Below are 12,147 nucleotides of genomic sequence, written 5' to 3'. Positions count from 1 at the left end.
TAAAGACCAGGAGAGGTCAGTGTGTGGTGATCACAACAGAGCACCCTTTTGAAGTACTGGCAACTAACGGATGTCTTAAAATTTAAAATGTGGCAATTTACGTCAGATGAAAAATATCCGTGGCTGTAAATGACATACTTCTTTCAAACAGGAGGTTTGCATACATTGAGAAGAAATAAAGCAAGAGGCAGTAATATACTGGAGCAGTTTAGGACACGCTATCTACTGTAACTGCCTTGAAAACCATAGTAGCAATTTTCCTCTAGGTGTACTAGTATCTTTTATCCTAAGAGAATTAAAATTCTCTGATAGGCAGCTCCTTATAGGCAGACCTGTTTTCCACTCTGTAGCAAAGTGATTGTCAAAACACACACACTCTTCACAGTGGATCTGTCCAGGAGTCATTTCCAAAGTGTGTACAGCTATCAGTGCTGAAAAAATAAGTTGCATAAATATTTTAATATATAATATGACTATCGATGTATGATTCACATTCTATAGCCCATTAGGAACTACATCTTGCTGTTAGAAATAGTGTATGGCACTTTAAAAAAAGTGAGATGGAAGAGACAGAAGCTACAGAAGGCATTGTTCAAATACTGCTAGTATTAATAAGAAAAGTCTCAAAAGAAACTATGTTTCTAAAATTAAACATTTCCCAACAGATACAAAAATATACTATTTTCAGGTTTGTAAATATATTTGTAGTAATATCACATGCTTTTTGAGGACCATTAACTCAAATACAAAACTTCAGGATTATTGATTTGATTTTACCTAGTATCACCTTTTGTGTGTCAGGAGGAACATGTTTTCAGGATTAAAATATAGAGAAGGTATGCTTGGGTGGAGAAGAAGATAGAGAAATGGGGACTCTAATTCACTCCTAAGGTGAATGTAATTTAATATAAACTTTCTGTAAACAATTTAGGAAATAGGGTGCAAAGGTCTGGAAAAAAGGTCTAAATTAGGTGATACTAATTCTAACAATTACTCTTATGATAAGGAATGATTAAATATAATTGTGTAAGTATACATTATCTTTAACTTACTATTTTTAGTAAAGTTATATTTCTGAGAGCCCAAACTGAACACAATGAACATTTATAAGAGTTAAAATTGCAAAGAACTTAAATATTCTACAAGCTATAGCAACATTCATGCATCCACTAAAGTCCAAGTATTTTAATTTTTAGTGTTATGGAAGAGTGTTCACAAAGCATTAAGTTAAATGAAAATAAAAATAAATTAGTTACAATGCACACATACATACACACACACGTATTTGTATATAGCCAAAATTTTATTCAATGTACATTTGTTTATACATAAATACGTAAATGCACTCGTGACATAAATAAGTGAAAGTGAGTTTATATGAAATGTATGGAGTAACATTAAGCTACCTGTCACAGTGTCTCCTGCTCCATCTTCCTTTTACTAGCTGCAAAAAATATCCTCTAGTACTGTTAGTCTGCATTCTTCTGGCCCTTCCCACTGCTGATTAAGCCTTTGTTTCACATGGCAGTGGGATCTGGATGGACTTTACGGTGTCTGGTCTTTCCCTCCCCAACTAGTAAGACAAGGGAAACATTCTCTGGATTCTCTCAGATCCCCCCTGTAAAAGCCTCATGGTGTTTCTAGAGAAAAAAGCATTCAAATGGGTGGAAAGCCCATTACCGTAGCCCCATACTAATGTTCAACTTCCAAGGAATTATCAGTGTTTCTTCGATATTCTGGCGGGCTTTCTTGGTATCTAGCAGCCTCTGTCCAAGGTTAGCAACTGTTTGACTCCTCTGTCTCCCTGGATGTGCCTATGTCTCCTCAGAATTTTGGATGGTCGTTTATCCTTTGACCTGTTTTCATCTGGGTTAGAAAAGCCATTACTTTACAGCCTGAACAAGGCTTTTCTTGTTGTAAGAATAGGGACTTCTTTTTTTTCAGCTCATGAGATAACCAAGATAAATCCCAAAGCGGTTAATCTGGAATAAACAAACCACGAGAGTCACTTGTTAGATCTAATTCCACAGAAAGAGATATTTTATGTAATGCACTTAATTTGAGAAAATTGAAAGTACTAATTTTCAAACCTAAAAATAATAATGAACCATTCTATAATAATAATTACTTACATCATTTAAATACATGTATGCACAGATTCTGTTAATTGACTATACTTTATCTCTTGTATCCCTTTGACCCCATGGAAAAATTGAAATGAGAAAATTAAGCACATGCAAAGGAAACTATAATCTAAGGCTGGAATATATTATTCTAAATATGAGGGTTCTTTATGAAATAAAAATAGGAGATGGAAAAGCAAGATTAGTAACAGGATCAACTGGGAACTGAAATGACTTTTTTCCCCCCTTAGTACAAATGATTGATTAACAGGATTCAGAAAACACTTTGCTTATGTTTATTGATTAACTCAGACCAAAAGTATGATATTGGACATGAAGACAACGTGAATAATATTAAAGATGACAGTAATAATAATACCGATCATGGTGATTATTGTGATGATTTCAATTCCAGTTCCCTGAGAATAAATGCTTCCATGAGTTTTTCTTGATATAAGAATCATTTCACGTTATAAGTTTCTCAAATAAATATCACTATCATCGTAGAGGCTTATTATACCATTTTTATTAGAAAGTGTACATGTAATCATTTATTCAATATTCTTCATGACCCTATAACATCTCCATAATTATTCTCAATTTGGAGATACAGAAGAAGTGTTCGTAAGTATAAGCTTATTTCCTACAAGTTATATATCTAAGAAAAAAGTCAAACTATAGCCTCAGACTCCAAAATTCTATCATTTGCCTGTGTTTTCTTCTGCACAAAAAAGCTACAATGGTACTAATATTCTATGATCAATATGAACCAGACACTGTTTCTAAGCCCATATCACATCTAATTTACACAAAATAAATTTGACTTAGTTATTATTATCACACCCTTTTTATAAATAAAAAGACTAAAGCACCAAGTAGTTAAGTAGCTCATCAAAGATGGTACCTTTAGTATGGGAAGATTTGGAAGTTAGTATGTCTGGCTTCAGAGACTGTGCTTTCTTAGAAAGCAATATCAGATTGAAGTGTTTATGTTATAAATATATATATAGTCACACGCTGCATAATGATGTTTTTGTCAATGACGAGTCACACATACAATTGTGGCCCCATGGAACCATAAGATTATACTATTGAAATAATTTTACTTCACCCATTTTATGTTTAGATACACAAATAGCTACCTTTGTGTTGCAAATGCCTACAGTATTCAGTATAGTAACATGCTGTACAAATTTGTAGCTTACAAGCAATAGACTATACCATATAGCTTAGATGTGTAGTAGGCCATACCATCAAGGTTTGTGAAAGTTCACTCTATATAATAAAAATTCACATAATAACAAACCACCTAACAAGGTGTTTCTCAAAATGTATAGCCATGGTTAGTGACACATGGACATAGGACTATACACACACCGAAATAGAGAAAAGAAGATATATTTAGAGATTTGCAAAAGCTTCAAATGTTTGCGGGGAATGAGATAGATGAAAATAATTATTTCAAGGCCAGGCACGGTGGCTCAAGCCTGTAAGCCCTGCAATTCGGGAGGCTGAGGAGAAAGTATAGCTTGAACCCAGGAGTTTGAGACTAGCCTGGGAAACATGGCAAAACCCTGTTTCTACAAAAAAAAAAAAAAAAAGAAAATTTAGGCAGGCATGGTGGCAAGTGCCTGTAAGTCAAGGCTGGAGTGAGCTTTGATTGTGCTCTTGAACCCTGGAGGTCAAGGCTGAACACTGGAAGTCGAGGCTGAAGTGAGTCTTGGTTGTGCTGCTGCACTGCAGCCTGGGCAACAGAGTGAGACTCCGTCTCAAAAAAAAAAAAAGATTATGTCAATATTCCAAAATATTACCTTTTAAACACAAACATAATTAACATATTTTATGGTATTTTTTTTTCTTGGTGCACACACACGATAGTGTTTTATATGACTAACAGTATACTCTAAAGGTTACTTTGCAATATCCTTTATGTTTATTATTTCTTTTTTTTAATACTTTAAGTTCTGGGGTACATGTGCAGAATGTTCAGGTTTGTTACATAAGTATACACGTGCCATGGTGGTTTGCTGCACCCATCAACCTGTCATCTACATTAGGTATTTCTCCTAATGCTATCCACCCCTAGCCCTCCACCCCCTGACAGGCCTTGGTTTGTGATGTTCCCCTCATTGTGTCCATGTGTTCTCATTGTTCAACTCCCACTTATGAGTGAGAACATATGTTTATTATTTCTTAACTCATAAATAGTATAGGTTATTCTATCTACTTTTACTGCTTATATGTAGGAGAAAAAAGCACATGTACAATAAGAGTCCTAAGTAAACCTAGTGTAAATTCGTGTGCTGCAAGTTATGTGGTATGAACGTTGAGATGAGTGGCTCAGATATCACTTTTAAGAAAGTACTTTGATAAGCAAGGTTATGACAACTTCAAGCTGTTAACTCCTTTAAATTCTCCTCATCTTTTGAGGCAAGATCATGTTCTTGGCATGGCCCTTCACAATCATGAAGACTGCAGTATAGGACCTAGCCTCTTTTCCCTGCATGGAAATCCAGTAAACCTGGATTATAAGAATGTGTGGTTAAAGAGGCCAAAACATAAGACTGATGAAGGGTGAATTTAGAGATGTGTAGTGAATAATTAACTTTACCCAAAGGGAAGTTTGGCCTTTGTTCTTTGCTGCTGTTGGGTAACCTCTAGGCTCTGAGTGTCCTGCCTGAGAGGAATATCTTTATTCTAGAATTTGTCCACAGGAAATCTAACAATGTGACATGCAATGGAAGCTTTGAACCATGCCCTATAAGTTCAGAGTTCCAGATGAAGTAGAGACAAAATGCATTAGTCTTATCTCTTGGCTGAGGATGGGAACTGGAGACTAAAGTTTAGCCACAGAGACAGTATGTGATCAATAAAAATTCTGAACACTGGGCTGAGCGCGGTGGCCTGTGATCCCAACACTTTGGGAGGCCGAGGTGGGCGGATCACGAGGTCAGGAGATCGAGACCATCCTGGCTAACACGGTGAAACCCCGTCTCTACTAAAAATACAAAAAATTAGCCGGGCGTGGTGGCGGGCACCTGTGGTCCCAGATACTCGGAAGGCTGAGGCAGGAGAATGGCGTGAACCTGGGAGGCGGAGCTTGCAGTGAGCCGAGATCGCGCCACTGCACTCCAGCCTGGGCGACAGAGCGAGACTCCGTCTCGGAAAAAAAAAAAAAAAAAAAGAAAGAAAAAGAATTCTGGACACTAAAGGTATGGGTGAGATTGTCTACCTGTCAGTATTCTGAATATTGTAGCACATTAATGCTGAGAGGGCAACATATCTCTGAGCATGAGGAAAGCTTTGAGTTTAGAACCCTCTCAGATTCTGCAATATCCATTTCTTCATTGAGCTGGTTCTAATGTGGATCCTCTGCCTGTTACAAACATGATGGGGAGTATAATTGCTCTCAAGGAGTTCTGAGTCTTCCTAGTAAATTACTGATCTTGGAATCCATAGGGATCTATAAATTTGAAGTCAGCTAGTCTAAAGTGAGAGTGGCCCAGGAGGCCCCTGAAATTATGACTGGTATCTGAAGTGAGAGTAAGTCTCGTAGGGACTATTCTCTCATTCTGTGCAGTTTGCCCAACTCATTTGCAAGGGGATACCCTCAGCATAAGGAGCTTAATACCTTAGCCAGGACTCTGAGGCCGGGGCGTGGGTGGTGGTGCAGGCTCAATGCCAGGTTGGCTCCTAGAAGTCTGGAGAAAATAAACCCAGGAAGAGTGAAGCTGAAAAGCTTTAATTGCGATAGCAGATGGTGGAGGAGGAGTAGAACAAATGAAGAAGATAGACATGCTAGAGTGTATGTATTATGTGAGTGAGATAATTTTGTTTTATGAGAAGGCCGAAGCGCACATCATTTACCCAGGTCATAAGGGATACAATGGTTAAGAGAGCCATCGTCATTAAGAAGTTCAGTGGCAACTCAGCAGGCTAAAATAGAGGGTAGGAAAGGTTATAGAGTTTAACTTATTAATAGCAGTGGAGAATGTAGGTCATTTAAGAACCAGCAGAACCTTCGAGAGGATACAATTTTTGTAACAACCAGCAAAATCTAAGTGGCAGCTGAAATGGTTTAACCTGAAGAGTGTTACAGAAATCAGTAATAGACATAGCAACTCCAGGAGCAAAAGAAATGGGCAGCCAACTAGGGTACTGTGTAATGTAATCACAATGTAAAACATGATTAAACAAAGCAAGAATGAGTAAGCGGGAGGCTAAGAGCAGTAATCTTAATAAAAACCATAATACTTTGTCCAGTTCCTATAGCTTTCTCCCTGAAACACACTGACTAAAGAGATTTCCAGGTCTGTAGGAAGAAAGACGTGGCAAAAAAAGAAAATGCTGTTATAATTTTATCAGTCCTTTTCCAGATGCCTTGTGGCTATTTGCTTGGATGACAGCACAATGCCCAACGAAAATTGTGGAACTATGTCATTTCAAGAACTATGGAACACAGGGTCTGAGATGAGATAGATTATCTGATACATGATGTGTTAGCATGTTCTTCTCCCCATTAAACTGGAGTTCTTCTGATCTTTTTAACCAGGTTAAAAAGTAGAATCCTTGTCAAAGTCCAGTAAAGAGAGGGTTTACGGCATTAGAAAAATTACCTGGTAGTCATTTCACCAGTCTCTAAATATGTAATTATAATTGGATGTTTTGTGGTTAGAGCAATCTCTACATTGTGAACCTGGCTTGTGGCATAACAGCTATCATAGTAGATAATTTTAAAAAATTGAAGTTTTTAAAACTTCCCCCAGCCAAGATTATAAATACAAAACAATATTTTGTGATTCAGCAGGATGGTGGCGAATAGTGCAACATGTAAAGATCTAAGAAATGCAGAGCAGAGGGTCCCTGTCACCACTTCATTTGATTCACCAGTCTGAACCCTGAAAGTGAATTTTGTGGACTAACACAAGAGCACAGGTAGTGGCTCCGATAGCATCTGATATGTTGAACATGGAATAATGCTTGTGCGAAACATCATGTCGCTCCATTACACTGATGTTATGGGGTTCAGAAAACACACCTCAAAGCATGGTGCTTTGACATGCTGAATACTTTGAACTAAAGAAGCAATCTCAAAACCAAAATCTCTCTCTCGCTTTCTCCTGCCCCACTGTCTCTCATCTCTCTGCCTCTCCTGAAGCAAAGGGAGAGGGTTTTCTCTGAAGTTCCTTTATCTACCTGAAGACCGGATCCACCAAAGAAGAGCACAATGCCTTCGGTCTTCCCACTGAAATTTCATTAACCAACAAAGATGAAACTCATATCACAGAGGAAGAGACTGAAAATCAAACATCATACTTAGAGCCCAGACAAACTTTGTCCCAGGCTATCTGTTCTGCTGTCTCATTTATCTCTCCTAAAAATCATTTACCACCCCTCTAAAAATTGGCCTACACCCCCCATTTTCCATTATTCTATGAAGAAAAGTATTTAAACTTCTAGACCTCATTGGGATATTGAACACTCACCTTCCTGTGATGCTCCTAAGCACGTAAGTAAATTTCTATGCACTTGTTCTTGCTTATCGGTCTATTGTCAGTTTATTTCTCAGACTCAAATATCAAACCTCAAGAGATGACAGACGAGGTTCTTTCATCCCTATATCATCATGAAGAATTGGCAGTGTGATCAACAAGGGCTAGCAGGATGGAGACTTTAATAAAATATGTGAATTCCGGAGTATGAGAAATAAACCTTATGGATAACGAGAAACTACCATTTCAGTAAAATCTTCAGGAGCCTGAATGGTTAGGAGCATGCTGGAATATCCCCTCCCAAACAAAAGGCAAAATGCAGCGTCTTGCATTCCCTACCACGATGAAGCATGGATACCACCTAGTAAACATCTCAAGGTTCTGGAGACAATACAGTTCACCCCAAAGAATACTACCTGGATATATAGCAGGTGATATGGAAGGCTATTTGCTTTAAGGAGGCCTAGGGCAAGGAAGAACTCTGCAGTAGGTCCAGGCTATGGTGCAAACAGTGCTCTTGGCAGTATCTACAGTGTAGGAAATACCAGGGGTAGCAAAGAATGCACTTTGGAGTTAATGACAAACTCTATTGGTAGGATCCTAACATAAACCCATTAGAAAGACCATGCCCTTTGCAGCACAAAGATACATCATTTAAAAAACAGCTGTTGGCATGCATCTGTCTCTGGATAGAATCAAAATGATTTACATTGAGACACAGGTGAACTTGTATTTGGAATTACACAACAGGAGCTGAGTCTTGTCAGAGATTTCAAGTCAGGCAGGTCTAGTGGCAAATTTATTGAAAAACAGAAATAATAGATTTAGGACTGAGCACAAGTAGAACAAGAGAGCATAAGAAAAACTATGTGGGCAAGTTTCCTGGACTCCCATGTCACAAAGAACATTTGCACCATCACCCCTCCCTCAGGTTGCACCAATGGTCATAAGGGCCATTAAGAACAATTGAATGTGGATAAAGAAGTGGAAGCATGGTTTAGCCATGGGTTAGCTAAACATGTTGGTTCTATAATAAACTGGAGAGTAGCTTCATTGCAGGGAGGCTTGAACAACAGGCAAAAGAGAAAAACCTCTCCAATGGGTGAAGCTATGGGTGGTAAACCTGTTTACTCATACGATTTGAGGAATATCTGAGGCTAAGAGTAGTAGTTAACTACATAGATAATTATTCAGGAGACCACAGGAAAGATATTGAAAGATTAGTGACAGAAGGCCTGGAGTAGAGACAATCAGATGGACATATAGGAGTTGGGACAAAGTGAAGATCTGTGTATAAGATATTAATGTGCAAAAGGAAATATCCACCGTAGAAAAGACATTATCTAATAAAATATATATAAATGGCTAAGCCAATGGATGTTAACCAGAGTTTGTCAGCAGCTACTTAGTGGTAGACAAATGAACATACAAGTGATGTGTGCATATTCACAGGGATGAAGGATGTGCATGTAATCTTTTTCATCAAGGCTTATCTAGCTATTGCCTTCTCTAAATGTACAACGGAGAGCAACAAAGAGTCCCTGGCATGACACTATGCCTCAAGGAGATCAACTGGCTCTTAATGTCTTGGAATGGCTATTGATTTGTTCTCACAGGAATAGATATGTATTTCAACCATGGATTTGCTTTTCTTGCTTGCTGAGCCTCAGCCAACACCATTATCTAGGAGCTTATGGAACACCTGCCCATAGGCATGAAATCCCACACAACTGAGCTCCAGAACAGGGGACTCACTAACAATGAAGGAAATGTGGAAATGATGCTAAATTGCACTATGTAGAAACAGCTGGACTGACAGAGTTGGAAAGGCTTGATAAAGTTGCATCTAAAATGCCAGTTTGGAGGTAATACACTGAGGATGGAGCTCCATCCTCACTGAATCAGAGATTTCTCTCTGTTCCTTCATCCCAACTCAGAAGATTTTACAGTTCCAGGATCCATGGAAAAGCCATCACCTTCAATGGTCCATTCAGTTAATTTATTTTAATTTATTTATGCATTTCCAGAACTCTGGGCTCTGCTGGGATACAAGTCCTGGTTTCCAAAGAAGATACCCTTTTGATAGGAGACCAGTAGGCAGAAAGAAAGTCACGATATTTGCAGGAAAACTTACCTTGATTAACAGGGAAAGATAGGACTACTGATATATTATGAGGGCAGGGGGAAACACATAGAAAACCGAGGTGATGCTCTTGGCTGTCCATTAGCAATCTATATCCCCATTGTGATTGTCAATAGGTAAGTACAGCAACCCCTGCTGTAGAAGGGTGTTTATCATGGGTTCTAATGCTTAAAATGAAGATTTAGGTTACACAGCCCCACAGCAGCCAAAAGACCAGCCGAGATGACAGCTGAAAATACGTGGAATTTAGAATGGATAGTGGAAAAAGAATACAATGGGTTGCAGTCCCTGAACCAGTCACAGGAATGAGAGCTGTAGTTTGTTTCCACTAACCTCTCTCTTCCAAATTTACATGTAGGAAAGGATAATCACTGGAACTCTAGAGGAGCTGCTGCCTAAACGTGGGTAGAAAAGTGGACTACATGAACAAATAGAGGACTGTAGCCTCCAGATAGCTTCAGGAAATGACAGGTGGCAAGTGTGGTTAGCTGCCAGCCCGTGGCTATTAACTTCTTCAATTCTGCCTCTGTATTGAAAATGAGGTCATACATCTCAAGATGGCTTCAGACCATGACTAAGCAAGACTGTACTAACAAAATCTTGTCATTTACACTTGACGTAGGACCCTTCTAGTGAGCCATCTTTGCTCTAGAGCTCTTGATTTAGATGGCAGAGACTTTGTGAGATATGCATCATGGTCTCTTGGCTCCCCCTGAACTTTTCTGCCACATTCTTTTTCTTTCACAGATGCTACTCCCCAATTAACCTTTACTGTTCACTTAATCTCAGCATCTGCTTTCTAGAAGTTCTAATTGATGCTTATGGATTAGCAAGTTTTCTATGACAGTATCTCAAATGGGGCATGTCATGAAGGAGAAGGGATTTCTTTCACAGAATAAAAAATAATCCAATTCTCAAACAAAGTAAACTATCAAACCGTAATAAGAGCTCTATCATTCTTCAACCACCACACTCTGGAATACTCCAATGTTCATTTTGAAGGTAAAACCTCCCAGGACTGTACCTCACCAATGGCTGAGTGAGGCACACATCCCAGAACCCCAACTTGTCTTCCAAAATGCCACTCTTCTTTTTTTCTTTTTTTTTGAGATGGAAAAGAGTCACATTTTGTCACCCAGGCTAGAGTGCAGTGGCGTGATCTCGGCTCACCGCAACTCCGCCTACCGGATTTGAACGATTCTCCTGCCTCAGCCTCCAGAGTAGCTGGGACTACAGGCTCCTGCCACCATGCCCAGCTAATTTTTGTATTTTTAGTAGAGACAGGGTTTCACCATATTGGCCAGGCTAGTCTCGAACTCCTGATGTTGTGATCAGCCTGCCTTGGCCTCCCAAAGTGCTGGGATTACAGGAGTGAGCCACCGCGGCCGGCACAAAATGTGACTCTTCGAATGGCTCTTTTGACAGACTCCTCTGGGGATTCCCATCAGTTTGACTGAGGTTTACTAAGACCTACACTGCGATAGAAGTCTTTTCCTTCCCAGTTTTCCTCCCTGTCTGGTCCCATTTCACAGGTTATCAGACCTGCATCATGGGTTAATAGCTCTCATAACCTACTCTTAGTTTTCACTTCTCATTATTTTTCAAAGTCATTTCCCTCATTAAACCTCTTACATTCTAATTATCACCTGATGTCTGATTTCCAAGGTACCCCAACTAACACAGGGCCCACATCATTATTGTACTGAATATTTAAAATTTTTCTATATTTATATGAGAATTCTGCACATGTATTCTTTGTTTGCACCTACCTATTGTTTCCCTCTGGAATTGTGTGATATATATCCAATATATGTCATTCTAAAGCAAAGCATTTTAAATACTTGTAAAAACTCCCTTTTTAATTTTTTTCTTTATATATATTTTTTATTGACTATAGTAAAGCATTTTCTGAAACTTCTAAACGTATTCTACTTTAGATGACATTTCTTAAAAAACCTAGCATGCAAATTGGATTTTTTATCCTAAATGCACTCTGAATCTGAAGTTACAACGGGATCATCAGATTCCTCACTCTGTATTCTGCACTTATGTTAATAGGGTCTAAGATCAAATTTGCATTTTTCACTGCATGCAACAGAATCATATAAAAGCTACAGTCACCTAGAAGTCATATATCTTTTTCACATATGCTGGTGTAAAGACTTACTTTCTTCATTCCACATTTCTGCAGTTGTATCTTTAGAACTAAGCATGATACAGTACTTTACATTTATTTCTATTACATTTTATTTAATTTGCTTTGGACCATCTAATGCATCAATACTCTTTCACATTCTGACTCTGTAACCTAATATACTTACTAATGCATTCTGAATTTGTTGCACTTTCGAAACCATTCATCCTGCCATCTCTGTTCTGGGAACTGATA

General features: G+C 38.5%; 1 long non-coding RNA gene across 2 annotated transcripts in view; it reads right to left on the bottom strand.

Annotated features, from left to right (window-relative positions):
• Positions 1–1,129: 1,129 nt before the first annotated feature.
• The window catches only part of LOC105374686 (uncharacterized), a 55,146-nt gene continuing 44,128 nt past the window's right edge, over positions 1,130–12,147 (bottom strand). For both annotated transcript variants that reach the window (XR_925850.2, XR_925849.2), the window contains one exon: positions 1,130–1,982. This is a non-coding gene — a long non-coding RNA (uncharacterized LOC105374686). The remainder of the gene's footprint in view (positions 1,983–12,147) is intronic.

Source organism: Homo sapiens, chromosome 5 (assembly GCF_000001405.40).
Source record: "Homo sapiens chromosome 5, GRCh38.p14 Primary Assembly".
NCBI classification, from domain to species: domain Eukaryota; kingdom Metazoa; phylum Chordata; class Mammalia; order Primates; family Hominidae; genus Homo; species Homo sapiens.
This window is presented reverse-complemented; position numbering and strand designations above follow the sequence as displayed.